At 52.8% G+C, this 24486-nt stretch overlaps 4 protein-coding genes, 1 non-coding gene and 1 pseudogene across 17 annotated transcripts, besides 9 other annotated features; 3 read left to right on the top strand and 3 right to left on the bottom strand.

The window, feature by feature from the left end:
- On the bottom strand, nucleotides 20-13800 carry RNF31 (ring finger protein 31). 2 transcript variants are annotated; one of them, NM_001310332.2, is made up of 21 exons: nucleotides 13768-13800; nucleotides 12553-12699; nucleotides 12198-12417; nucleotides 11974-12033; nucleotides 11799-11874; nucleotides 11092-11269; nucleotides 10227-10614; nucleotides 9787-10077; nucleotides 9296-9544; nucleotides 9005-9190; nucleotides 8683-8889; nucleotides 5345-5518; nucleotides 5163-5261; nucleotides 4983-5072; nucleotides 3271-3385; nucleotides 3037-3155; nucleotides 2664-2777; nucleotides 2476-2533; nucleotides 715-811; nucleotides 268-436; nucleotides 20-155 (listed from the first exon to the last, which is right to left on the bottom strand). In NM_001310332.2, the coding sequence occupies exons 3-21, from the start codon at nucleotides 12237-12239 to the stop codon at nucleotides 102-104; spliced, it is 2766 nt and encodes a 921-aa protein (NP_001297261.1). In that variant the 5' UTR covers nucleotides 12240-12417; nucleotides 12553-12699; nucleotides 13768-13800; the 3' UTR covers nucleotides 20-101. The 2 variants fall into 2 exon arrangements, with proteins under 2 accessions (NP_001297261.1, NP_060469.4); NM_017999.5 differs by lacking the exon at nucleotides 13768-13800 and adding an exon at nucleotides 12785-13177 and having other exon boundaries at nucleotides 12262-12417.
- RNA5SP383 (RNA, 5S ribosomal pseudogene 383) lies at nucleotides 1953-2072 on the bottom strand (annotated as a pseudogene).
- Nucleotides 12910-13139: a silencer, noted in NCBI's record as "silent region_5628". NCBI's record gives its function as "represses an Ori minimal core promoter by ATAC-STARR-seq in GM12878 lymphoblastoid cells {active_cell/tissue: GM12878}" and the evidence as "EXISTENCE:reporter gene assay evidence [ECO:0000049][PMID:35858748]".
- Nucleotides 12910-13442: a biological region, named in NCBI's record as "H3K27ac hESC enhancer GRCh37_chr14:24616442-24616942".
- Nucleotides 12942-13442: an enhancer, noted in NCBI's record as "H3K27ac hESC enhancer chr14:24616442-24616942 (GRCh37/hg19 assembly coordinates)". NCBI's record gives its function as "activates a minimal SCP1, AML or CMV promoter by ChIP-STARR-seq in naive H9 embryonic stem cells {active_cell/tissue: H9 hESC(naive)}" and the evidence as "EXISTENCE:reporter gene assay evidence [ECO:0000049][PMID:30033119]".
- Nucleotides 13101-13395: an enhancer, noted in NCBI's record as "tiled region #11827; HepG2 Activating DNase unmatched - State 1:Tss, and K562 Activating DNase matched - State 1:Tss". NCBI's record gives its function as "activates a minimal TATA promoter and a strong SV40 promoter by Sharpr-MPRA in HepG2 and K562 cells {active_cell/tissue: HepG2 | K562}" and the evidence as "EXISTENCE:reporter gene assay evidence [ECO:0000049][PMID:27701403]".
- Nucleotides 13170-13259: a silencer, noted in NCBI's record as "silent region_5627". NCBI's record gives its function as "represses an Ori minimal core promoter by ATAC-STARR-seq in GM12878 lymphoblastoid cells {active_cell/tissue: GM12878}" and the evidence as "EXISTENCE:reporter gene assay evidence [ECO:0000049][PMID:35858748]".
- Nucleotides 13580-13649: an enhancer, noted in NCBI's record as "active region_8190". NCBI's record gives its function as "activates an Ori minimal core promoter by ATAC-STARR-seq in GM12878 lymphoblastoid cells {active_cell/tissue: GM12878}" and the evidence as "EXISTENCE:reporter gene assay evidence [ECO:0000049][PMID:35858748]".
- Nucleotides 13960-14019: a silencer, noted in NCBI's record as "silent region_5626". NCBI's record gives its function as "represses an Ori minimal core promoter by ATAC-STARR-seq in GM12878 lymphoblastoid cells {active_cell/tissue: GM12878}" and the evidence as "EXISTENCE:reporter gene assay evidence [ECO:0000049][PMID:35858748]".
- On the top strand, nucleotides 14065-17310 carry PSME2 (proteasome activator subunit 2). Of its 2 annotated transcripts, none has more exons than NM_002818.3 (11): nucleotides 14065-14141; nucleotides 14435-14467; nucleotides 14903-14965; nucleotides 15210-15296; nucleotides 15402-15432; nucleotides 15520-15617; nucleotides 16207-16275; nucleotides 16416-16483; nucleotides 16646-16700; nucleotides 17004-17090; nucleotides 17186-17310. In NM_002818.3, the coding sequence occupies exons 1-11, from the start codon at nucleotides 14094-14096 to the stop codon at nucleotides 17264-17266; spliced, it is 720 nt and encodes a 239-aa protein (NP_002809.2). In that variant the 5' UTR covers nucleotides 14065-14093; the 3' UTR covers nucleotides 17267-17310. The 2 variants fall into 2 exon arrangements, with proteins under 2 accessions (NP_002809.2, XP_006720276.1); XM_006720213.3 differs by having other exon boundaries at nucleotides 14779-14965.
- MIR7703 (microRNA 7703) lies at nucleotides 17110-17186 on the top strand. Its single transcript, NR_106990.1, has one exon. It is a non-coding gene; the product is annotated as a microRNA 7703 (primary transcript).
- EMC9 (ER membrane protein complex subunit 9) lies at nucleotides 19084-21710 on the top strand. Of its 8 annotated transcripts, none has more exons than NM_016049.4 (6): nucleotides 19084-19237; nucleotides 19359-19568; nucleotides 19710-19786; nucleotides 21061-21130; nucleotides 21221-21315; nucleotides 21479-21710. In NM_016049.4, exons 2-6 carry the CDS (start codon nucleotides 19371-19373, stop codon nucleotides 21663-21665), a joined length of 627 nt encoding a protein of 208 aa, NP_057133.2. In that variant the 5' UTR covers nucleotides 19084-19237; nucleotides 19359-19370; the 3' UTR covers nucleotides 21666-21710. The 8 variants fall into 8 exon arrangements, with proteins under 8 accessions (NP_057133.2, NP_001333804.1, NP_001333803.1 ...); NM_001346875.2 differs by having other exon boundaries at nucleotides 20886-21130; NM_001346874.2 differs by having other exon boundaries at nucleotides 20859-21130.
- Nucleotides 19161-19250: a silencer, noted in NCBI's record as "silent region_5625". NCBI's record gives its function as "represses an Ori minimal core promoter by ATAC-STARR-seq in GM12878 lymphoblastoid cells {active_cell/tissue: GM12878}" and the evidence as "EXISTENCE:reporter gene assay evidence [ECO:0000049][PMID:35858748]".
- A 2-nt stretch (nucleotides 21711-21712) lies between the features above and the next one.
- Nucleotides 21713-24481, bottom strand: PSME1 (proteasome activator subunit 1). Of its 4 annotated transcripts, none has more exons than NM_001281528.2 (11): nucleotides 24374-24481; nucleotides 23658-23690; nucleotides 23470-23532; nucleotides 23244-23354; nucleotides 23110-23155; nucleotides 22878-22975; nucleotides 22558-22626; nucleotides 22412-22479; nucleotides 22276-22330; nucleotides 22107-22201; nucleotides 21713-21939 (listed from the first exon to the last, which is right to left on the bottom strand). In NM_001281528.2, the coding sequence occupies exons 1-11, from the start codon at nucleotides 24410-24412 to the stop codon at nucleotides 21915-21917; spliced, it is 702 nt and encodes a 233-aa protein (NP_001268457.1). In that variant the 5' UTR covers nucleotides 24413-24481; the 3' UTR covers nucleotides 21713-21914. The 4 variants fall into 4 exon arrangements, with proteins under 4 accessions (NP_001268457.1, NP_006254.1, NP_001268458.1 ...); NM_006263.4 differs by having other exon boundaries at nucleotides 22115-22201; NM_001281529.2 differs by having other exon boundaries at nucleotides 22115-22201; nucleotides 22412-22440.
- Nucleotides 24148-24437: a silencer, noted in NCBI's record as "silent region_5624". NCBI's record gives its function as "represses an Ori minimal core promoter by ATAC-STARR-seq in GM12878 lymphoblastoid cells {active_cell/tissue: GM12878}" and the evidence as "EXISTENCE:reporter gene assay evidence [ECO:0000049][PMID:35858748]".

Raw genomic sequence — 24486 nt, 5'->3', positions numbered from 1 at the left:
GACCACCAAGAAGCCTGGGTGGTAAGATGCCTCTTTATTGGTGCTGGAGCTGTTCCTGAGGGAGCAGGCCATGGGACCCTCATCGGGACCCTTGCCCTCAGCTACTTCCGCCTGCGGGGGATACTCTGTCCCAAGGGTACCTCTTCTGTCAGCTTCTGCAGAAGGAGAGAGAAGGTAATGATATTGGAAGCCTGGAGCTCAGACACAGTCAGCACCAGGTGACTTCTGTAGGGTGGGTTAAGAGATGAGGCTGGGTGGAGGCTATACCTGTAACAAGCGGGCCTGGTAAGCAGGGGGATCCTCTCCAGCCAAAGGCTGGGGGCGTACGTGCAGGTAGCGCTCAGTGGCCGTCTCCAGCTCTTCCACCTCATACAAGGTGGCTGGGTCCAGCGAGTGGGCATTGATGAGGCTCACAAGATACTCTTTGTAGTGTGCCCTGGGGAGAAAAGGGAGCAGAATATTTGTTGTGTTGGCTAATATTAACTGAGTGTGTCTAACATAGCTGGACTCTGAGACACCTGGACGAACAAGATTAACAACCCACCTGTGCCCACACTGCCTGCTACTATCTACCCATGCCCTTGCCCAGAAAGCCTCCTCCCTCCCACCCACTGCAAGACCTACTGCTCCCAAGGACCCATTTTACTGCCTGGGCATGCCCTCACCACTTCTACCCACTGCCCAACACCATGCCCATGTCCTGCTGGCACTCACTGGCACAGGCCGGCATAGCCAGCTGGAGTTTCCTTGCCACAAGCTTCGTCCCTGAGCCCATTGGGAACCTCCTTCTGCTCTATCACTCGGCAGCCGCCTAAAGGTGAGGGAAGAAGGGAGCCTCTGTTGGGAGGCCAATGACCACAAAGCTCCAGAACTGGGATATCCACAAGGCAGGGAAGGCAGCCTCCAAGGAAGGGACCGAGCACAGCAACTCCTGCTTTCCCAGTGGTGCTGGTGGGTACTCAGAGGTGCCGTCAACGGCAGACCATCTGATACAGAGGCAGGGACCTTGTCCCTACTTTTATCCAAGCTGGCTTTTGGCTCATAAACACATACCCTCTTGAGATAGTGTTTTTTTTTTTTTTTTTTTTTTGGTTGTTATTTATCTCTTGACTAGTTAACTTATTATCGGAAGATCTTACCTCTTTTTTTTATTTTTATTTTTTAAATAGAGACAGGGTCTCACTATGTTGTTTGGGCTGGTCTCAAACTCCTGGGCTCAAGTAATCCTCTTGCCTTAGCCTCCCAAAGTGCTGGGATTATGGGTGTGAGCCACCACCACTCCTGGCTATTGGCTACCTCTGGTTTTTTTTTTTTTTTTTTTTGAGATGGAGTTTCACTCTTGTTGCCCAGGCTGGACTGGAGTGCAATGGCGCAATCTTGGCTCACTGCAATCTCCACCTCCCGGGTTCAAGTGATTCTCCTGCCTCAGCCACCCGAGTAGGTGGGATTACAGGTGCCTGCCACCACACCTTGCTAATTTTTTTGTATTTTTAGTAGAGACAGGGTTTCACCTTGTTGGCCAGGTTGGTCACGAACTCCTGACGTCAGGTGATCCACCTGCCTCGGCCTCCCAAAGTGCTGAGATTACAGGCATGAGCCACCGTGCCCAGCCACATTTTTTTTTTTTTTTTTTTTTTTTTTTGAGACGAAGTCTCGCTCTGTTGCCCAGGCTGGAGTGCGGTGGCGCCATCTCTGCTCACTGCAAGCTCCGCCTCCCGGGTTCATGCCATTCTCCTGCCTCAGCCTCCCGAGTAGCTGGGACTACAGGCGCCCGCCACCACGCCCGGCTAATTTTTTGTATTTTTAGTAGAGATGGGGTTTCACCGTGTTAGCCAGGATGGTCTCGATCTGACTTCGTGATTCACCCGCCTTGGCTTCCCAAAGTGCTGGGATTACAGGCATGAGCCAATGTGCCCGGCCGGCCACCTCTATTTTTTAAAAAATAAATTTAAAACCTATAGCACCTGGAATTCCCAGCCAATCTCTCATCCAAGTACTAACCAGGCCCGAACCTGCTTAGCCTCCAAGATCAGAAAAGATCAGTCACATTCAGGGTGGTATGGACTGTAGACTTACCTCTGTCTACACTGTAAGAAGTGACAGAGGTTAGAACCATATGTAACACCTTTCTGTTGCCCTCATGGAACCTAAAACAGTGCCCTGCAACTAGCACTTCTCATTAAACACTCATTGAACTAATTAATTAATTATGATCATTTGGGAATGGGAGAAGAAAATTAGTATTAATGCCTTCTTGGGTACCAGGTTCTTTAAAGATGTCTTATGTAAAATGGCTTAGCTGCAAGGTGGATACTACCTCCATTTTACAGCGGAAGAAACAAGGCCTTGGGTCTCAATTAACTTGCCAAAGGGCATGCAACAAGTGACCCCAGACCCAAGCCTCCCCTTTACCCATCACACGGTGGGAGCCCAGCACACCATCTCCTCTTCTCAAAGGCTTGTCCTAACACTCACCTCCAGGGACTGCCCGGGCCCCAGCTGGAGGCTCTGTATTAAACATGACGTTATTGTCCTGAGGAGGAGAGACAGATGGGTGTTACATTCCCCTTGATGCCAAGTCCCTGTTGCAATTCCTAGCACGGAGCCTTTTCCATTCTTGCCCACCCTGGGCCCTGTCTTCTTCTCTCCTGGCCACCTCTGACCTGTAGCAGCTTCTGAAGCCGGAGAGCAGTCCAGTCCCGCAGGTAGAAGAGGCAGTCTCGAGGGTGGTGGCCGTGCAGGGACTTTTTCACCCTGCAGTTAGGCTCTGGACATTTCTGGCAGAAACCCAGATGGGAGAGAGGAAGTTGGAGACTGTTGGGGTCCTGGCCTCTCAGGAACCCCTGCGTGAGGGGTGTAAGGGTGAGGGGAGATGGAGACATTGGAGGAGCAAGCAAAGGGTAAGGGGACAGAGAGTTGTGCTTTACATCCCGTTGACCTCTTCTCTTCCCCGGGGCCACTCCTCAATAGCCTCTGACTCTCAAAGCCAATGGCACCCCCCACCCTTCCACCCCTTCCCCAACTCTCTGGGCTTACATTCTTGGCGTAAAAGGCATTGTAGCAGCCGCTGCAGAACTGGTGGCGGCACTGGGTACAGTGAAAGTGCATGCAGCCTCCTCGGGCCAGGGCGTACGAGAACTTGCATTTGGGGCAGTCTGCAAAGGACAAGAGGTCAGGGCTGGAGCTGCCGCTGCAACTCAAGGCCCTCAGGAAGAGAGCTGCTGGCAATGACAGGCTTCTGAGCAAACAGGCCGAGTAGGGAGGCCTTACCAATGCCGTTTTCCTGAAGATACATTGCTAGGCCCTGGGCCTGGTATTCTGGGTCGTTCATGCGTTTCCAGTTCTGGAAGTCCTCACAGCTCCGACCTCGGTGCTGCTCCTCCCACTGCCAGAGGGAAAGTAGGCTTCACATGGGAGCTCTATCCCATCCCCTGGCCTTTCTTGCTGGCCCCTCCACTCACATCCAGTGGTTCCCCAGCTTGGTTTATGTCACTGCCACCTACCATTTGCTCAGATCTCAAAATGAGAGGCCATCCTTGGTCCTTTCATTTTCTCCTACCACCTCACACTACTTTTGCCTTGTTTCCACCCCACAGACCATCTCAACCATATCCCCTTTTCCTTCATCCCTACTGCTACCACTTTACTCCAGGCCACCATCAGACCTTGCCTCAATTGCTTGCCTCGGTTACTAGTCTCTCTGTTTCCCATTCCTGCTCCCCTAGGGTCAATTCTCCCCATGGCTGTCAAAAGTCCTTCAAAACTGTAAGTCAGGTAGCTTCCACAGGATTGGTGGTGTTTTGGTTCTGTGGTAGTCTCAGGTGTTCACTTTATTTCAGACATGATGCAGATGAAATTTTTTTCGTATCAAATATTACACTTCTTTTTTTTTTTTTGAGATGGAGTCTCGCTCTGTCACCCAGGCTGGAGTGCAATGGCGTGATCTTGGCTCACTGCAGCCTCCACCTCCTGGGTTCAAGCGATTCTCCTGCCTCAGCCTCCAGAGTAGTTGGGATTACAGGCACATGCCACCACACCCGGCTAATTTTTGTATTTTTAGTAGAGACGGGGTTTCACCATATTGGGAGGCTGGTCTTGAACTCCCAACCTCAAGTGATCCACCCACCATGGCCTCCCAAAGTGCTGGGATTACAGGCGGAAGCCACCATGCCTAGCCAAATATTACACTTCTTAAAAGATAAATGTGGCTGGGCATAGTGGCTCATGCCTGTAATCCCAGTACTTTGGAAGGCTGAGGCGAGGGATCACTTGAGACCAGGAGTTGGAGGCTGCAGTGAGCTGTGACTGCACCAGTGGACCCCAGCCTGGGTGACAGTGAGTTGTCTCTAAAAATAAATAAATAAATAAATAAACGAAAGATAAATGAGATAGTATCACCCTTGCTTTATCTCAGAATGAAGGCAGACGGACGCCTGCTTCACGTGGCCTCCAGGGCTCTACAGACCTGGCAGCTGGCTTCTCTCTGACCACCTGCCATTCCCGCCTTGCTTTCCAGGCTCCAGCCATACAACACTTTTTTCTGATTCTGGCCTTTCCATGTGTTGTTCTTTCTCTCCCAAATGCTCTTTGCATGGCTGGCTTCTTTTTAATGTTTAGGCCTGAGCTTAAACCATTTTAGAGAAGACTTGTCTGACCTCTCTACCCTAAGTAGGTCCACTCTGTTACCCTGATCTCAGGTTCCTGTTTGTTTTCTTCATAGAATTTATGCCTATGTATAATTAGTTCCTCTGGCTTACTTTCTTTCCTTCCTTCCTTCCTCCTCCCCTTTCCTTTCCCTCCCGATTTCCTCCCTCCCTCTGCTTCCCTTTCTCCTTGTGCCTAGTCTTTCTGAGTAGTCTGTAAGCTCTTTTGACCTCAGAGCTCATGTCTGTTTTGCTCTCCAGTACACAAACTCCCCTGAGTCTAACACAGTACCTGGCAGTAGCTCAGCAAGTATTTCTGAAAGGATGAATGTGCCTCACCTGGCGCTTGCAGCGCACACAGAAGGTCTGGTGACACTGGGGACAAGTTGCCTCCAGCTGCTCACGCTCATATATGAAGCCAAAGGAGCACTGGAAGTGCAAGAGCATAAAGTTATCAAAGGCCTGACCTGGAACCATCCCCTGCCCCTCCACAGTAGCTGCCCTGGGCAGGCCACTTACCTGGGCACACCACAAGAACTTGGGGTCCCGCATCAGCACACCCTCGGTCAGCTTCTTATGGAACAACGCATAGGCATCTGGCTCTAGGCTCTCGCGAAGCTGGGGACAGGATGCAGAGGTGGTGGGTGGGAGGGTCCCTGTTCAAAGCTCAGGGTACCTGAGTCCTAGAGGGGCTGCAGTACCTGGATGTCAAGGGTAGAGAAGTAGCTGAGCAACTGTGTGTCATCGGTGAGGTCGGGGCGGCCACAGGCAGGGCACACCATGTCTGTGATGTGCTTCTCCTTCAAGGCGATGGTGAAGTGCTGGCGGAAGCAGTCAGGACAGATGGTGCACTCACAGGAAGTCAGGGCCTGCATCTGGAGGGTGAGGGGTTGGAGGGGAGGGGGTCAGAAGCCACAGCTGCCAGGCTAGGGAAGAGGCAGTGGCCAGGTGTCCACTAAGAAATCAGGGTCTAATTAACAACTGGGCAGGGTTAACAACCTCAAGTGCCAGCAGGGGCCAGGCAGGCAACGTAAACATCTGAAGACAGTCGGGTGGAGGAAAATAGACAATGGTGACACCTAAGGTAAAGGCAAAAGTGCCTATAAAAACATTCATATTCCATTAAATATACAAATAACATGCTTGAAATGACAAAACTATAGAGGTGGAGAACAGCTTCATGGTTGCCAGGTGACTAGAAGTGGGGGCAGAAGGGTATAACTAAAGAGGTACATGAGAGAGTTCCTTTGTGGTGATGAAACAATCTGTATCTTGATTATGGTGGTGGTTATATGCATCCATACGTGGGACAGAACTGCATAGAACCACACATACACACAGCGGCATATCCATGAGAAAAATGAACAAGACCTGTAGTATAGCTAACATTGGAGCAATGTCTTATTTCTTGGTCTTGATATTGTACTATAACTATATAAGAAGTCACCACTGGGGGCCGGGCACGCTGGCTCACACCTGTAATCCCAGTACTTTGGGAAGCCAAGGCGGGCGCATCACTTGAGGCTAGGAGTTCGAGACCAGCCTGGCCAACATTGTGAAACCTTGTCTCTACTAAAAATACAAAAATTAGGCCAGGCACCATGGCTTATGCCTGTAATCCCAGCACTTTGGGAGGCTGAGGCAGGCGGATCACCTGAGATCTGGAGTTCCAGACCAGCCTGACCCGTCTCTACTAAAAATACAAAATTAGCCAAGTGTGGTGGCGCATGCCTGTAATCCCAGCTACTCGGGAGGCTGAGGCAGGAGAATCACTTGAACTCGGGAGGCGGAGGCTGCAGTGAGCCGAGATCGCACCATTGCACTCCAGGCTGGGCAACAAGAGCAAAACTCTGTCTCAAAAAAAAAAAAATTAGCCGGGCATGATTGCAGATGCCTGTAATCACAGCTACTTGGGAGGCTGGGACAGGAGAATCGCTTGAACCGGGAGGCAGAGGTTGCAGTGAGCCATGATTGCGCGACTGCGCTCCAGCCAGGGCGACAGAGCGAGACTCCGTCTCAAAAAAATGTCATCGCTGAGTGAAGGTTAGTGAAAAGTACACAGGACTCTATGCACTATTTTTGAAACTTCCTGTAGATTCTACATTTATTTATTTATTTAATTTATTTTGAGACAGAGTCTCACTCTGTCGCTCAGACTGGAGTGCTGTGGCGCAATCCTGGCTCACTGCAACCTCTGTCTCCCAGGTTCAAGAGATTTTCCTGCCTCAGCCTCCCAAGTAGCTGGGATTACAGGCACCCACTACCACACCCGGCTAATTTTTGTATTTTTTGTAGAGACAGGGTTTCACCATGTTGGTCAGGCTGGTCTCGAACTCCTGACCTCAGGTGATCCACCCACCTCAGCCTCCCAAAGTGCTAGGATTACAGGTATGAGCCACTGCGCCTGGCCAACTTTATGTATTTTATTATTTTTTTTAATTTAAGTTTTTTTTTTGAGACGGAATCTCATTCTGTCGCCCAGGCTGGAGTGCGGTGGCACGATCTTGGCTCACTGCAACCTCCACCTCCCAGGTTCAAGCGATTCTCCTGCCTTAGCCTCTCGAGTAGCTGGGATTACAGGTGCACGCCACCACGCCTGGCTAATTTTTGTATTTTTAGTAGAGACGGGGTTTCACCATGTCGACCAGGATGGTCTCAATCTCTTGACCTCGTGATCCACCCACGTTGGCCTCCCAAAGTGCAGGGATGACAGGCGTGAGCCACCATGCCCGGACCTTTATTTATTTTTTTAGAGATGGGAGTCTTGTTATGTTGCCCATGCTGGTCTCTAACTCCTGGCTTCAAGGTATTCTCCCACCTCAGCCTCCCAAAGCTCTAGGATTACAGGCATGAGGCATCATGCCCAGCAAAATTCTTTTTGAAAACATAGCCACAGTAGCACTGTCACACACACACACAAAAATGAACAGTAATTCTTTTTTTTTTTTTTTAAGACGGAGTCTTGCGCTGTTGCCCAGGCTGGAGTGCAGTGGCGCGATCTCGGCTCACTGCAAGCTCCGCCTCCTGAGTTCACGCCATTCTCCTGCCTCAGCCTCCTGAGTAGCTGGGACTACAGGCGCCTGCCACCACACCTGGCTAATTTTTTACATTTTTAGTACAGACAGGGTTTCACTGCGTCAGCCAGGATGGTCTCGATCTCCTGACCTCATGATCGGCCTGCCTTGGCCTCCCAAAGTGCTGGCATTAGAGGCGTGAGCCACCGCGCCCAGCCTGGTAATTCTTTAATATCAGCAAATATCCAGTTTATAGGAATAAGCCCTTCTTAGTTCCTGAGACTCCACGTACTCTAGGTCAGAGTAGTTAGACTGGCTCTGTATGTGTTTTATTTTGGTTTTACTCTGTATTTAAAATAATTGTAGAGGTCAAGAGCTCGAGACCAGCCTGGCCAATATGGCGAAACCCTGTCTCTACTAAAAATACAAAAATTAGCCGAGTGTGGTGGCGGGTGCCTGTAATCCCAGCTACTCAGGAGGCTGAGGCAGGAGAATTGCTTGGAGGAGGCAGAGGTTACAGTGAGCCGAGATCACGCCATTGCACTCCAGCCTGGGGGCAAGGGTGAAATTCCATCTAAAAAAAATAAATAAGTAAATAAATAAATAAAGTTTTACATTTTAGAGATATATACGGAAACATTTATAAACTATATTATGCCTGATATTTGATATCATAATAGCCATCTGTGTATATATGTGAAATAAAGACTGATCATGTTTGTTGACAATTGCTGAAGCTTGATGACAAATACACTGGAAGTGGAGGGGTTGCAGGGGGGTATGGGAATTTGTTATACAGTGTAGTACAATTTTTCTACTATTGCATGTTTGAAAATTTCCATAATAGAACATTGTTTTAAAAGGGAGGAGATAAGCCTGTTCCTGACTTCCCCCTCCCAGGAGCCTTCAGGGGTATATGGGCAACTGAAGAGCAGAAGACAGGATCAGAGATGGAGACTGGGGTAGGATGGGGGTCCAAAAGAATAGAGTAATTCTTGGACCAGGTATCGTGGGGAGGGACTTACCCGGTTGTGGGGCAGGGCCCAGCCACACACGGCACACTCCTGGGCAAGCAAGCGGCGCAGGAAGGCCCGGTCCTGGCTGTGCCTCACAGCTTCTACCACATCCCCCAACTCATAGTTCCTGGGTGTCTCCTGCAGCAGTGACAGTGCCAGCTCTGCCCGGCCCCAGCTGGGGAGTGCGTAGACTGCCAAAAGCCGCCTGACCAGGCTCTGCAATATGATTCAGGTGGAGGGGGGAAGTGCTGTCAGACTCCAGGGACCCTTCCCCTCAGCTCCCTCTTGCTCCTCTAGGTGGACCCTTGGGCTTCTTGCCTCCTCCCAGCACCTGCTTGTCTGGCCCATCCCAGGAAGGGGTGGGCTCAGGGCCACTGTCCCAGAGGCGCTGGCGGAAGGGCTCTAGGCGTTGGCGCTGTAGCTCAGTCAGGGCCCGTGACACATCACCTCCGTGCTGGAACAATGCCTGGAGAGACCCCTCCTCAGGCCCAAAGCCTAGAGACTGGAGCTCCTGCACCTGCAAGATGGGAGTGGCAAGGGGGAATGAAGTGGGAAAGCAAGCAAGGGAGAGTGTGAGAGATGCAGACTCTCGACCCTATCCCATATCCAGCACAGCTGATACCTTCCTTCGCCTGGTCCTCACACACTCCTCCACAGCTTCATCAAGGTTGCCATGACGATCCAGCCAGGCTCTCCGGGCCTCCTGACAGGAAAAGGCACCCAGCCCAGGGTCCTGCTGTCCAGCCAGCTCAGCCACCATCTCCAGGACGTAGGGCAGTTCTGAGCGCAACCACTGCAGAGGCACCTCAGTGCCCGAGTACTGCAGAGCCGAGAAGATCTCCTCTGGACAGGCACCTGCGGCTTCCCCTTCCTAAGGCACAGTCCCGCCCATCAGGAGGGGCACCCTTCACCCACCCTCAGCCTGAACTAAGATGGTGACAGTGGCTCAGCTCAGACATATGGATCATGTCATCAGTGTACAGCAATGGTAACTGCCTCAGTAACAGGCAGCTGCTGCTAACAATAACAAGATTCATAGAAACTATTAACCACCTGCAGCATCTCCTTTCCCAGACCAGCTCAGCCCTACCTCATCGCAGGCCCAGTCCTTACCCGGATCATGCTCACTAGCTGGAGGCCTTCTTCCCGCATCTTGTCTTGGCGCTGCTTCTCAGGATCTCCACAGGAACTGGGCAGGGGGGCACTAAGGCGTCGTGGGGGCCCAGGCTTGGGGGGTCCCTTTTCCAAAGAGCTGGCATAGGGCCGGGGGGCATGTTGTGCTGGAATGGGGCTACTAGTCCGGTTGCACATAACACACACCCAGCCAGGGCTCGAGTTGCAGAAGGTACAGTGAATACAGTACCAGACTTGACTCTGGGCAGAGGCCAGCAAAGCATCCCCCTGCTGGGAAGGCAGAGAGAATTATCCCTTTGACTGGCTGGCTGAAGTTCACAACAGAAATACAGGGAGTTGGGAGGAACTGAAGGAAAACATGGGATAGGGAAGAGAATGCCTGAGGTAACACACGATAAAGAGCTGGGAAGGCCAGTTACCTGAAGGGGTTGCAGGCAAATGCCAGCATCTCGGGAATCCACCACCAAGCTGGGAGGCTGGGCCAGCCGAGGTCGCTCACATATGGAACATAGCACAGCAGCTGCCTCATTCTCAAAGGTACAGCTCTGGCAGGCCCACCGACCCCGTGCAAGATCAGGTTCTAGGCCTCCAGTTCCTTGGGGACCCTCAGTTCCCAACCCCAACCCCTTACAGCCTCGGGGCCGATCACAGGCCACACAGAGCACTGCCCAAGGCTCATTTAGCATGGCACAGGCAGCACAGTGCCAGGGCAAATGAGCACTTGCAGGATTAGGGGAAGAAAGAGAGCTGTCTCCCAGGGCCAGCAGGGAGGTCGACTGGGGCCGTGGTTGGGCTGAGGCAGGTAAACTGTAATGGAAAAGCAGACATGGCCTGCTGAAGTGGCACCTGGTGCCTGGATCCCTCACCTCTAAGCATTCTCCATTTCCTGGGTAACAACTCATGTCACTGGCCTTTGCACACATTGTCTGTCTCGAATACTCCTATACCCATAGCTTATGCAACATTTAAATGACAGCTTAAAGCTCACTTCTTCCTAGTAGATACTGCTAACACATGGCCTGACCTACACTAGGTGTTTAAAATATTGCCACCTGATTCAGCTGACCCTTCAGACTAGGTTGCAAACCACCTATTACCATAACAACCTGGGTTACTGCAATTGCTACCTGCTTGATGTGTATGTCTATTATCTCTTTCAGGGTTCTGACTGGCTACTTGTCCTCTATTAAACAGTCTTTAGCACAGAAACTGGCAGGTAGTCCATAATCAAGTGATCTTAAGTTCTCTAAATTTCACTCCCACCCAGAAGAGAAGCCCTCTCACCTGGGGCTCAGGTGGGTACCCTGCAGGACCCCAGGCAGGGTCTGGCGGAGGTGATGAGCACGGGATGGGTGTCCATGGAACAGGTGGTCACAGGCTGGACACAGGGCCTGTTTACAGGATGGGCAGTGCAGTGTGCCTGGGGCAGAACCACAGAGGAAGCAGGGACCAGGAGTGGAGCCTGGAGGGCAGGAGAGATGGAACATCTTTCCAAAAAAGACCAGGCTACATCTGAATCTGCTGTGGATGGGGGCAAATCACAAGACTACTTTTTAAACATCTGGACCCAAGGAAACAATTTTAATCTCTTTTAAAAAACAAAGAGGCCGGGCGTGGTGGCTCATGCAGGTAATCTTAGCACTTTGGGAGGCTGAGGTGGGTGGATCACTTGAGGTCAGGAGTTCCAGACCAGCCTGACCAACATGGAGAAACCCCATCTCTACCAAAAATACAAAATTAGCCGAGCGCGGTGGCGCATGCCTGTAATCCCAGCTACTCGGGAGGCTGAGGCAGGAGAATCGCTTGAACCCGGGAGGTGGAGGTTGCGGTGAGCGGAGATCGCACCATTGCACTCCAGCCTGGGCAACAAGAGCAAAACTCCGTCTCAAAACAAACAAACACAAAGGAAGATAACCAAGAAGACAGAGGAGCATCCCAAATTTCCATCAATATAGCTTCCTACCTGGTCCCCAATTTAGGACCAATAATACCTGGGACAGAGGGTGTGGTGAGGGGGCCAGGAGCAATCTCTCTCAATAGGGGGTCAAATTCTGAAAGCTGCAGCATCTGAAAAAGAAAGGGCAGGGAATGAATAAGGGTTTAGGGACACAGAGTCTCACAATTCCTGTTTCCTTTGTACACCAGCCCCTTTCCTGCCTTCCTTACATCATCTTCAACCTTGTCTTCCAACAGCTGCTCCAGTGCCTGCTGTCTTGGATGAGTATTCTGCAATAATACAGATAAAAACGGTTTCCAGCTAGACCCCTAGAACAAAGCCCTCCCTCTAAGCCCTGGTCCCTTAACATTCACAGAAGGAAAATCAGTACCCGGAGCTCCCAGAATGCTGAACTATGCCCATAGTTCAGCAGCACGGGGGTCCTCAAACTTACTTGAGTTAGGCTGGGCTCCCCAGCCCTGGTGCATAAGTCCATCAAGACTAGAGGAGCATCTCACCTGCAATAGCAGGCTGAGCTCTGTCCGAAGCAGCAGTACTTCCAGTGTGACTGTAGCAACCTGGTGCTCATCTGGCTCCTCCTGCCCTTCGGGGAAGCTCAACCCATCTGGTTGCTCCTCTGTGTAGCCATATAATCGCAGCACATCTCGGCCCCCCTGCCACACATTCAAACGAGTCACCACCCAGGAGGTTTCCTGCCTAGTAGGGCTGGACCCCTTCCCATTCAGCACAACCTCAGGCCTTTTCTAGCCAAACCCCAGCCCCCTCTCCCATAAGGCCAGGGGATTCACCTGCACAGCATCCACCGTGCTGCGAAAGACAGGGTTATTAAACTTGACACCACGCCAGTACCGAGGCCGCTGAGGGCTGAGAAGGTTGCGGCCGTATTTCTCCAGGATGTTCAGAGCCGTGGACAGGGTGTTGAGGTAGTTTCGGGGCTGGGAGCAAGGAGAGCAGAGAGGTGTGAGCGTGGCCTGGGCCTCAGGCCCTGGTGTCCCCCTTCCAAGCGGGGCCGGGCCTCACCTCCCCATGAGCGTTGCAGCGGACAAGGCGTGCGGCGTCCAGCTGCAGGTAGCGGGCGGCTAGCGGCAGAGAGCTGGCTAGTAGCGGCCGGAGCTGCTCCAGGGAAAACGCCTGCCCGGAATCCCTCCTCAGGGCGCTCGCCAGCTCCTCGCGGGCCACCAGGAAGGCCCGCTCCTCTTCCTCCCCCGGCATCCTGAGGCAGGAGTCAGCCCCAGCCTCGCCGCCCGCCAGGACCCGGCGCGGGCAGCGCGCGGCCCGAGCGCCGCCCCTCCCGTCTGGTGCCCGGCTTTGAGGCCCACCCCGGCCCACGCAGCCGCCCCAGGTCACTCAGACCACGGTCACTCTCCAGCCCCCGGCCCAGCGCCAGGGTTAGCCGAGAACAGGAAGTACTAGGAGAGAGGGTGGGACTGCGACCCAATTTCGGAGGAACGGGCGGGGCTTAAGGTTAAGGTTGGAGCGGTGTCAGGAAACCAGGGGGCGCGGCCAAGAGGGAGGGCCAGGTCCCAACCAATGAGAAGGCAAATGGCTCCTGGCTCCTCCCTCAGAGCGCGCCAGCATCTTCCCTCAGTCAAGCGCTCTTCCCCGCCTTCCCCCAATCTGGTTCCACCCCTTCCGGATAGCCGCAGGCGCGGGGTTATCCTATTCAGCTCAAAACCTTTCTTTTTCTAGCTGGACCAGTCCGGTACGCTCCGGGCCTCACCGAGGAAGTCCCACCCTGCAGGGGAACCGACTCTGGCCGGCCCTAACCCCTCTCGAGCGAGTCCCGCCCCATCTCCGGTCTGTCCTGAAGGCAGAGGGAAGACCCTCACCCAACCCCTGCCCGCTCTCTTCTAAGAGCTGCTAGTCCTTCTCCACCCCAGGCGCTCCCTCTGGCTGCCCCTCCCACTCGCTCTGATCTCTCTCCGTCCGCTACTTGCGGTCGAGCCTTCTTGGGGGAGCCCCGCCACTGAATACCCCCTTTGCCATACTCCCACCTCTCTTACCCCAACCCTGGACTTCCAGTTGGCCCTAGCTATAAGCCCCGCCCCTCTCCGAGGGACAGCCCCCGCTCCAGTCTCCGCGGTCCCACTTACCCTAGCCCCTCCCTCGGGCAGCCCCTGGACTGTGACCCAGCCAGCACCGCCTCTCCTAGTGGCAACTGGCTGGGAATGGCTGAGGGGCTACCTACTGCTTGCGGCCTGCCAGCGGGAGGAGGGGGGCGGAAAGAAGAAAGGGGGCGGGGTTGAGGGGGGCGGGCCTGGACCTGGGGAGTGAAAGCGAAAGCCCGGGCGACTAGCCGGGAGACCAGAGATCTAGCGACTGAAGCAGCATGGCCAAGCCGTGTGGGGTGCGCCTGAGCGGGGAAGCCCGCAAACAGGTAATGGGGAATCGGAGGCCAGGAAGGGGTCATAGAACCCTCTTGGGTGGAGGCCAAGCTGGGTGGTTCAGGGGACCAAGCAGTGCCAGAGAACTCCCCCAATCTCGCTAGTGCCTTCACTTCTCGGGGATTCCCAGATTCCTGCCTTCTGACTGCAGTGAGCAGGAGCTTCCAGGGAAAGCTAGTTTGTGGTGAGAAAGGCCTGAGCCACAGTTCGAGGGCACCCTGTTGTGGGTGGAAGCTTTTGACAACCCAGACCCTTAACCAACATCCGGGTACTGCTCTCTGTGTAGGTGGAGGTCTTCAGACAGAATCTTTTCCAGGAGGTAAGTCTCTGGATTTGAGCGATTTGACCCAGAATCTTGGACCAATACTTGAGGATAACAGCCTCTCAGAATGACCCCCCCAAGTCACCCTAGACTTAACCCTACTTCCCTTACCAAGCCTTCACCCAAAGTAACCCCGGAATTATTGATAGCTACCTTTAATCTGACCTTTCTTATGACTCTCCCGACTTCTGGCACTTCTCCCGTCTTTTGATGTGGAGGAAAAAAACCATGGCTTCCAAAGCAGGAATATCACAGTCCTAACCTTCGTTCTGCCATTTACCAGCTTGGGCAAGTCCTTTCATTTTCAGGTCTTCAGTTTCCTCATTTGCAAGTCTTGGACCCAGTGATTTCCAAAGGCCCTTCCAGTTCCATTTGTCAGACATCTCATTGAGCATATTCTGTGATTCCCCTCCCTTGCAATGTAACCCACAGGCTGAGGAATTCCTCTACAGATTCTTGCCACAGAAAATCATATACCTGAATCAGCTCTTGCAAGTGAGTAGTGTGGGCCCCTTCTGCCCCATCCTATGTCCTCTATCCCCTTTGCCCACCCTCTCTAGCTAACAACTGGATTCAGCATGCAGAGAATAGTTTCAAATAGTGGATTAGGAACATTAGGATGGCGTGAGGCATGAGCCTAGGTTGGGAGGCAGAGTGCAAGTGGGATGTATGGAGGGAAGGCTGTGACCTAGGATGAAGGGAAGAGGTTGGGCAGCCCTTGACAGTGAGCTCTGTGCAGGAGGACTCCCTCAATGTGGCTGACTTGACTTCCCTCCGGGCCCCACTGGACATCCCCATCCCAGACCCTCCACCCAAGGATGATGAGGTGAGGCACTCAGGGTGCAGGACTTGGACTATAAACCCAATGGAGAAGATAGCCCTTCAACCTCTGTGACTTTTCTAAAGCTACTTTCCCCCCTTTTTGCCTTAGATGGAAACAGATAAGCAGGAGAAGAAAGAAGGTAAGAGAGATAAGAGGTGACTAGGGAAGGGGTGATGGCACACTGACTACTGGATGAGAAAGGGCCTGAATCCCCTCTTTCTCACAGTCCATAAGTGTGGATTTCTCCCTGGGAATGAGAAAGTCCTGTCCCTGCTTGCCCTGGTTAAGCCAGAAGTCTGGACTCTCAAAGAGAAATGCATTCTGGTAAGCCTGGGAAATGGGGGAAGCAGAAAGAGAAGACACACAAGGTGAGGCCCTGGACTCCTCCGTAGATACAAGTCCTTCATACAGAGACCTAGTCCTGAAAAAGAAAACTTCCTTCTGTGCCTTGGGCTTAGATCCCCTTTGTTCTCCTCGTTCTGTTAGACCTCTCTTATCACAACGGTACCCCCAAAATTAGAGACTGTGCAGTATCCACTCTGTAACCTCAGAACCTACTGCTGTATTGGGTTCATAGTAGAGGTGGTATGATATAGTGAGTGAATTGTTTTAAAAGATTGGACCCTAGAGAGAGACTGCTTAGGTTCAAATCGTGATTCTATCAGTTACCTAGCTGGTAGCCTTAAGTAAGTCACTTAGACATTCTGTGACTCAGTTTTTTCATCTGTTAAATGGGTACAATAAATACATATCTCTGAAGGTTGCTGTGATGATTACATGAAATAAATACATGGCACAGTACCTGGTATGTAATAAGTACCCAATTAAATATAACTTTTTTTAGGAAGTGACAGTAATAGGAAGAACTCAGTATGTTTGTTGAATGATTCTTACATGATACCTCTTAACACAGGTGATTACATGGATCCAACACCTGATCCCCAAGATTGAAGATGGAAATGATTTTGGGGTAGCAATCCAGGTAAGAAAAGGGTAACTGAAGATACTTAGAGTGGGGAGAGCCTCAGGGGGTGAGCTAGACATGAACCAGGAGGAGGAGGAAGATAGTGTATGAAATGGGGAGGACATGAAGTGTTGTCTTTGCCTCCCGTGTCACCACAGGAGAAGGTGCTGGAGAGGGTGAATGCCGTCAAGACCAAAGTGGAAGCTTTCCAGACAACCATTTCCAAGTGAGGGCAGCTGGAGGACCAGCATTGGGGGCAGTAGGAGCATTTCTTTGGGACCCCCAGAGCTGGGCAGCCCTATCAGGATGATGGGAGACTTTGGGAAGGGTCTGAGGGAGTACATCTCCCTGAACACTCATTCCTGTGGTATTCCCTTGCTTCTGGCAGGTACTTCTCAGAACGTGGGGATGCTGTGGCCAAGGCCTCCAAGGAGACTCATGTAGTGAGTGGATAGTCCACCAGCCTTTTAGCTGGGTGTGGGACGAGGAGGTGTGGAGGAAGAAGTCCTCCTTGTCTTGTTTGTGACTTTCCCAATGTGGAGAATATTAAGCTAAAAGCATTACCTAGAAAAACTGGTTTGGGCTTCAACAACCTTGACCCTTTTCTCTGCTCAGTCCTTTGGGATCCTATTTCTTGGTGCTAAGAAGGGGTTCATTCTCAAGTTAACCTATTTCCTATAAAAGGAAACCAGACTCATGTCCCAGCCTCCCATGGGACTGACTCAGCTTTGCCTCCCACATTGCAGATGGATTACCGGGCCTTGGTGCATGAGCGAGATGAGGCAGCCTATGGGGAGCTCAGGGCCATGGTGCTGGACCTGAGGGCCTTCTATGTGAGTGTGGAGTAAGGCTTTAGGGGAGGTGGATGAGTGGGGGCAGGCAGGGGATTGGCTAAGAACCTGACTCTTGCACTCTGGCCTTCTCCCAGGCTGAGCTTTATCATATCATCAGCAGCAACCTGGAGAAAATTGTCAACCCAAAGGGTGAAGAAAAGCCATCTATGTACTGAACCCGGGACTAGAAGGAAAATAAATGATCTATATGTTGTGTGGATTCCCTTCTGGCGTGTGTCATTCATTCAAAAAGCATTTATTGAGTGGCACCTATGTCCAGCCTGAAGATGAATGTGGTGGGAAGGGGTGGGTGTCACAAAGACAAAGATGACTTAGATGCCCACTGTAATCTTGACTGTGAGAAAGAGGGGATTCAGGCCCTTTCTCATCCAGTAGTCAATGTGCCATCTCCCCTTCCCTAGTCACCTCTTATCTCACTTACCTTCTTTCTTCTCCTGCTTATCTGTTTCCATCTAAGGCAAAAAGGGGGGAAAGTAGCTTTAGAAAAGTCACAGAGGTTGAAGGGCTATCTTCTCCATTGGGTTTATAGTCCAAGTCCTTCACCCTGAGTGCCTAGGGTGGGGATTGTTACATGCCATGGCAGCCATGCAGATAACCTGTATTTTGGAATGTAACAGTATTATTTTCATCCAGAGGTCTCAGGAATTATTGGAAGAGATGGCATTTGCACAGAGCCCTTATGGGAATAATCAGGCTTTGGATACACAAGGGGAAAGTTCTGTGGTCAACATCAGGAATGAAGAAAGAAAGAATCCTCATCAGTTCAGGAAAAGCCTAGAAGGAGAATAAGGTTTCACTGGGAGAACTATGGAGAACTACGGATGAATGATTGGACTCCCCCCACCCTTTTTTTTTTTTTTTTGAGATGGAGTCTTGCTCTGTTGCCCAGGCTGGAGTGCAATGGCACGATCTCAGCTTACTGCTACCTCCGTCTCCCGGGTTCAAGCAATTCTCCTGCCTCAGCCTCCCGAGTAGCTGGAATTACAGGCATGTGCCACCACACCTGGCTAATTTTTTTGTATTTTTAATAGAGACGGGGTTTCGCCATGTTGGCCAGGCTGGTCTCGAACTCCTGACCTCAGGCGATCCACCCACCTCGGCCTCCCAAAGTGCTGGGATTACAAGGCGTGAGCCACCGCGCCGGGCCTGGACTCCCTCCTTAAGGGCTAGGAGGGGAAAAAATAATGCTTCCAAGGCACTGTGGTGAAGGAAATACATCGCAGGACATTATGGGAAGGATGAATCTGTAAGTTTTTCTTACTGTCCTCCCCCATATCCCCTTCAGCCAATCACTGTCTTTATCTCTGCTTTTCAAGATTCAGCCCTGGGCTGGTGATAGAGACAAGGGTTCCTTTGCTGTGATCTTGCTGTAAACTCCATGGGATTGTTCTTTAATTCAGGGCCTTATCCTGTCATAAAATATGAGATAAGAATGTGCTGCGAAGCACTAGACTGGCTGGAAGCCTGCCCCCATACATATCTCATTAAATCCTTAAAGGAACACGGGCAAAAGATAAACCAAGGGCAAGAAAACCTGCAGTCGCGAAGGCAACACGGCCCATTAGTAAGTGACAGAGCCGATCTAGAGTACAGAGCCACTCAACCCATAATAGGCGCAAGGCGGTCTGCTTTGCCCGCAGCGCTCCGGAACACCCGGCTACGGGATAGCGATCCATCCTTGGGGCTCGGCGGAGCGAGTGGTAGTGGGCAACACAGGTAACAGGCAAAGCCAACCACCAACCGAGAGCGGAAGTCGGGGAACCTAGCCAATAAGAGTGCGGGCAATTTTCTGTGCTTCACAATGGTGGGTTCTTTCCAGTCCGCTGGAGACAAAGGCGGGGCAACGTTGGGGCGCGGCCGCTGATTGGACAAATTGAAAGCCTTTAGCCCTATCAAGGAGCACCACGTGGGCGGGACTCCAGGAGCCAGTTCTGCAGGGAGCTGCAGTTTGGTCTGTCTCCCAGGCAGGCGCAGAGTCGCGGCCGCCAGCTAGGGGCGCGGGAAGGCGGGGCTCGGATGCAATCGGGACCTCCTCCTGGACTGGGCCGGGGGCGGACTCCGGGACCCAGGGCGCCGGGAGCCGGCGGGCTACCTGCGAGTCGAGTTAGCGTTGTCGCCGAACCGAAGTGAGAGGGCACGGGGAAGGGTCAAAGAGCGTGCCGAAGCGCTGGAGGGAGCTTCACGGACGCGAGCTAGGCACCGGCTCGCCTAATCCGGTACTAATCCGGCTTGCTGCTTCCCGTCCAGGCCTCGCTCGCCATGGGGGAGGTGGAGATCTCGGCCCTGGCCTACGTGAAGATGTGCCTGCATGCTGCCCGGTACCCACACGCCGCAGTCAACGGGCTGTTTTTGGCGCCAGCGCCGCGGTCTGGAGAATGCCTGTGCCTCACCGACTGTGTGCCCCTCTTCCACAGCCACCTGGCCCTGTCCGTCATGTTGGAGGTCGCCCTCAACCAGGTGCCTCCGTTGGATGCCCATCCCCCACCGCGAACCCACCCAACACCCCAGCCCAAGTTCATCCCCGGTCCCTTGGCAGCAGTGCGCATCCACAAAGCCAGCGGCACAATTTAATTACTGATGGCCCCTTTCCTACGACAGGTGGATGTGTGGGGAGCACAGGCCGGTCTGGTGGTGGCTGGTTACTACCATGCCAATGCAGCTGTGAACGATCAGAGGTGAGTGGCGTAGCCAGAGGAAGAAGGAAAGGATTATGGCGGGTTGGGGATTGGAGGAATAGAGGGCGAGGATGCGTGGGGCGGTGGGCGGGGCGGGGGCGCACAAGATGAACCAAGGTCGTTCCTTTTATCTTTCCTTCATCAAACGCTTAGGAGCAGGGGCTTTACACCAGGCACTATGCTGGGTACTGGAGTGAGGGAATATAAAGATGAATAGGACAGAGCCCTGCCCTGGAGTGCCGTTGGGGCGGGGAGGACAACTGTGTATCAACAGACTGATTTTTTTTTTTTTTTTGAGACGGAGTCTCCCTCTGTCTCCCAGGCTGGAGTGCAGTGGCGCAATCTCGGCTCACTGGAACTTCCACCTCCTAGATTCAAGCGATTCTCCTGCCTCAGCCTCCCGAGTAGCTGGGATCACAGATGAGCGCCACCATGCCCGGCTAATTTTTTTTATTTTTTTAATTTATTATTATTTTTTATTTTTAGTAGAGATGGGGTTTCGCCATGTTGGCCAGGCTGGTCTAGAACTTGACCTCAGGTGATCCACGCGCCTCGGACTCCCAAAGTGCTGGGATTACAGGCGTGAGCCACCACTCTCGGCCAACAGACTGATCTTGCTTTAACTGAGGTGTCCCCCAGGGGCTGAAAGAACAGAGAAATCCCAACCAGCAACTTCAAAAATAAGGCAGTTTCCTTATATATATACATATAGGAAAAGACATATATATATATATATATATATTAATCATATACATGGAGCAATTAGAGGTACTGTTTTGTAATTTGCGTTTCTCCCTCACTTAATAAATACTTGACATCATCCCATTTCCACACCAAGATCTACCGTAACAGCTATATAGTCTGAATATGAATGTACTCTAATTTATTTAATACTTTAAACATTGAGGTTGTTTCCAGTGTTTTATTACAGACACTGTCCTATGATTACCATAAATTCTTTATAAGTAGAATTTCTGGGTCAGCATATGTATAGTATGTATACAGTTTCAATTTGGATGGTTATGCCAAATTACCTTCCAAAAAGACCACCTTTGGTTTCCACTCTCACCAGCAATATCTGAGCACCTGTCTCCCACAGCACTCAAGCATCAAGCAGTCGTGCATCAAGCATCCAGCAGGCCCGATCCCCGCAGGCCACCTACAGGGAAAGGCCACAGCTGCGCCCACACCTATGAGACCTGGGAGGCCCAGCTCAAATGGATGGGTTTTGCCCACAGTTGGCTCCTCACTCCTCTGATCTTCCCTCTACACAGCCCTGGGCCCCTGGCCTTGAAAATTGCTGGGCGAATTGCAGAATTCTTCCCTGATGCAGTACTTATTATGGTGAGGCTTGGGTTTCTGGGTGGGGAGGTGAAAAGCAAGTAGGGTGGGGGGACCCTTGAAACTCTCACTTGCCCATCTTTGTCCACTCAGTTGGATAATCAGAAACTGGTGCCTCAGCCTCGTGTGCCCCCGGTCATCGTCCTGGAGAACCAAGGTCTCCGCTGGGTCCCTAAGGATAAGAACTTGTGAGTACCCCACTCCCTCTACCTCTTCTTAGAAGCCCAAGGCTCCTGGGTCTCCTCTGTCCTTGGCCCTGCCCCAAGGGTCTTTCTCTAGACCCAATCTCTGTTAAGTCTGTGTCTGGACCCACTACTTGCTGTTTGACCTCCATGGGGGTTACTATTTCAGAGTGATGTGGAGGGACTGGGAAGAGTCACGGCAGATGGTGGGAGCTCTACTGGAAGATCGGGCCCACCAGCACCTTGTGGACTTTGACTGCCACCTTGATGACATCCGGCAGGACTGGACCAACCAGCGGCTCAACACTCAAATCACCCAGTGGGTTGGTCCCACTAATGGAAATGGAAATGCCTGAGCCAGGGCCAGCGGGGCCCGGTTCCAATAAAGAGACTTGGGCTGATGGGCAGTGGTATAACTATATTTATTGTGCCTGAGAGGCAAGGTGAGGGAAAAATCTCAACAGAAGCAAGTTTGGGGAAAATCTGGAGTCCCCAGTAAAAAGCAGGAAGGTCTCTGCTGTACTCATCACAGAATGGGAGAGAGGGCTCTCAATAGATCATTCCCTTTGTTTCTCCCCTGGGCTTCTTGAGCTTCTCGAAGTTCTTCAGGATGATGTCATATAACACAGCCTACAGGGCCAGGGAGTAGAGGTCAGTCAGAGGCCTCCAGTGGCTCTGTGCCCCATTTCTAGCCTTGTGGAGAAGCTGAGCTTTGTCACCCTTAACCCCTAGCCTGCAGGGTCAGGGAGTGGGTGGCCTGGGAAAGCTGCCTCTGCCCACCCCTGCCCTGCCCTTGCCTCCTCACATAAGCATTGCGGATCTCCATGACCATCAGCCGGATGTCCCGGTACTCTGCCTCATCCAGCTCGTGCACCAGCTGCCGATAATCACCCTGTGGGAAGCTCGGGTCAGGCCTGACCTTACATGTGTCCTTCCCCCATGCACCCTGACCTGGGCCTCACCTACCACATGGGGCTGCTTGGCTGCTTTAGTCACTGCATCACCACGCTCAGAGAAATACCTGTGGAAGGAGAAGTGTGTATGGAGTAGAAGAAGGAGGTCTCCCAAAACAAAAACAGTGTGCACATGGGTGGTCACTCACTTAGAGATTTGAGTGTGGAAGCCTTCTAGCTTGGTGTGGAGGCTGGTCATCAGCTCAAACACCTTCTCCTAGGGAAAAAAAGCAAGGGGGAAAGTGGAAGGAAGCATGGACTAGAAAAGAGCAGGGAAGTGGGGCAGCGCTCTCACCTGGACAGCCACTCCAAAATTGTTACCATCCTCAATCCGAGGTATCTGCAGCTGCAACCAGGTGGTGACCTGGGAAGAGGGAATGGCATAATGCCACATCAGCCCTCTACCCAATTCCCAGTTTCATATTCTCCCTTGCTTCCCTCCCCACACTGGGTGGAGGCGTGCCGGGTCTATCCTGAGCCCCAGGGCCTGGACTTCTGGTTTCACTTGCTGTGCCCTCTCTTGCTAAAACCTGGCAAGTGCCAGGCCCTAAATGGCAGGGACCAAGAGGACAATGGTTTGACTTGAAGCCTGAGAGTTTAAGGGGGAGGGCTTACCAGGTTGAGCTGCTCAATGACATCCTTGATCTCAGGCTTCAAGCGCTGCAGAAGGACCACGATCTTTTCATTGCAGTTCACTGGGCCACAGGGAGGACCTAGAGAGTGAGCAATGGGTCAGTCACATGATTGAGCCTGTGTGAGGGGCGAAGGGGAGACTGGAAAGAAATCCTTAGGAGGAGCTCCTGTGAGTGGGACTCAAGTCTCTTCCCACCATTGTGGTTTCAAGTACCTTTGTCTTCATCCTCCCCCTTCTTCTTTTCATCCTTGTCTTCCTTCTGCAGAAAGAGAGGAGCTCATGAGAGTCAGGACTAAGGTTGATTACCCCCATAGTTGGATCCCTTCTCCCAGGTCTTCCCAGCTTGCCTCCTGCTGTTTCTTCCGCTCCTCTTTCTCTTTCTCCTTGACTGGATCAGGCACTGGGATGTCCAATGGGGCCTTCAGATTGCTCAAGTTGGCTTCATTGAGAGCTGGCTCCTGGTGTAGGGTGGGAGGAGGGCTGGAGGTGAGGGAGTTCCTCTCACCTCACTCTCACAGCCTCCAGACTCTTCTCTTGGCCTTTACTCCCTAGCTCCCTGCCCAGCCGCGGTACCTTTAAAAATGCATCCAGCTCAGAAATCTTCTTGGGGAAATAGCTCCCGAGCAGGTTCTCTGTCTGTGTGTGAGGTGGGGGTGGAGGAGGATGGGAGTCAGCATCAAATGCCCGTCCTAGGTAGTGAGGCAGGGTTGAGCAGTAGGAGTTGGGCAGGGGTGGGGCCACGCTGATGGGGCATGTCTTACCTTGGTACAGAGGTCTTCACGAAACACATCCACCTGTGGGGCACACGCATCCCTTCAGAAACTTGGCTTTAAGGCCAGTTCATTTGAGGACAGTTCCCTTAGGGTTATGTAGGGCCTGACCTGGGGAAGGGTGGAGGGGATCCCTCTAAGGCCAGACCTGAAGAAAGCGAGATGGATGCCTGTAGGGTGGGTTGGGGTGGTGGAGAAGGTGGATCTCTGCAGACCTGGATCTACGGAAAGTGGAGTGGGTATCCCTGGGGCTGGATATGGGGGATGAGAACATTCCTGGCGGTGAAGGGCCAGTGTTCACGTGAGAACAGATCTCTGGGGTCGCCTGGCAGGTGTGAGGAGGGGTGCTGAGAGTCCTCTGCAAGTAGGACAGGGATGGGGTGGGCCCCGGGACCCTCCCTGAGGGAAAGGCCAGAAGGTAGCTGGGGCAGTCCCGCACCCAGTCTGTGTGTGGCCCCGGCCCCAGGCCAGCGGAGTTCCCCTCCACGCCAGCTCTCCGCTTCACCTCACCCCGCAGAACCACGGCCGCCTCGCCTCTCCCCGCAGGCAGCAGTCGCCGCCCTCCCCGGGGCGCAGGTGCTCCGGGCGCGCCAGCTCGGCCGACTGCCCCCGACTCGCGTGGGAGCCTGGGGGGCGGGTCGGGGATGCCCCCGGCCGCTCCAGCCACGCCTCCCCAGTGGGCCCTTTCTAGACCCCGCGGCGCTCACCTTGGCTTGGGCCTCGGGCTGGACCCTGAGCATGGCCATGACCGGGACGGGGGGCCTAGCGCCGCACAAGGAGTGGAGTGGGCACCGCGAAGGGAAAGCGAAAGCGGTAGGGC

This window comes from Homo sapiens, chromosome 14 (assembly GCF_000001405.40).
Source record: "Homo sapiens chromosome 14, GRCh38.p14 Primary Assembly".
Taxonomy (NCBI): domain Eukaryota; kingdom Metazoa; phylum Chordata; class Mammalia; order Primates; family Hominidae; genus Homo; species Homo sapiens.
This window is presented reverse-complemented; position numbering and strand designations above follow the sequence as displayed.

What these genes read in the sequence shown, in the direction of transcription:
- PSME1 (NM_176783.3), bottom strand. Translation starts at nt 24,412, where the DNA reads ATGGCCATGCTCAGGGTCCAGCCCGAGGCCCAAGCCAAG. An exon ending in AGCCCGAGGCCCAAGCCAAG is followed by an intron (nt 23,691 to 24,373) that starts GTGAGCGCCGCG and finishes TGTGCCCCACAG; the next exon opens with GTGGATGTGTTTCGTGAAGA. An exon ending in AGCTGGATGCATTTTTAAAG is followed by an intron (nt 23,355 to 23,469) that starts GTACCGCGGCTG and finishes ACCCTACACCAG; the next exon opens with GAGCCAGCTCTCAATGAAGC.
- PSME2 (NM_002818.3), top strand. Translation starts at nt 14,094, where the DNA reads ATGGCCAAGCCGTGTGGGGTGCGCCTGAGCGGGGAAGCCCGCAAACAG. An exon ending in TCAAAGAGAAATGCATTCTG is followed by an intron (nt 15,618 to 16,206) that starts GTAAGCCTGGGA and finishes CTCTTAACACAG; the next exon opens with GTGATTACATGGATCCAACA. An exon ending in CCTCCAAGGAGACTCATGTA is followed by an intron (nt 16,701 to 17,003) that starts GTGAGTGGATAG and finishes CCCACATTGCAG; the next exon opens with ATGGATTACCGGGCCTTGGT.
- EMC9 (NM_016049.4), top strand. Translation starts at nt 19,371, where the DNA reads ATGGGGGAGGTGGAGATCTCGGCCCTGGCCTACGTGAAGATGTGCCTG. An exon ending in TGGAGGTCGCCCTCAACCAG is followed by an intron (nt 19,569 to 19,709) that starts GTGCCTCCGTTG and finishes TTCCTACGACAG; the next exon opens with GTGGATGTGTGGGGAGCACA. An exon ending in CTGATGCAGTACTTATTATG is followed by an intron (nt 21,131 to 21,220) that starts GTGAGGCTTGGG and finishes TTGTCCACTCAG; the next exon opens with TTGGATAATCAGAAACTGGT.
- RNF31 (NM_017999.5), bottom strand. Translation starts at nt 12,976, where the DNA reads ATGCCGGGGGAGGAAGAGGAGCGGGCCTTCCTGGTGGCCCGCGAGGAG. An exon ending in GTGTGCGCTGCAAGCGCCAG is followed by an intron (nt 3,386 to 4,982) that starts GTGAGGCACATT and finishes TCCCTCTGGCAG; the next exon opens with TGGGAGGAGCAGCACCGAGG. An exon ending in GGCTATGCCGGCCTGTGCCA is followed by an intron (nt 437 to 714) that starts GTGAGTGCCAGC and finishes TTTTCTCCCCAG; the next exon opens with GGCACACTACAAAGAGTATC.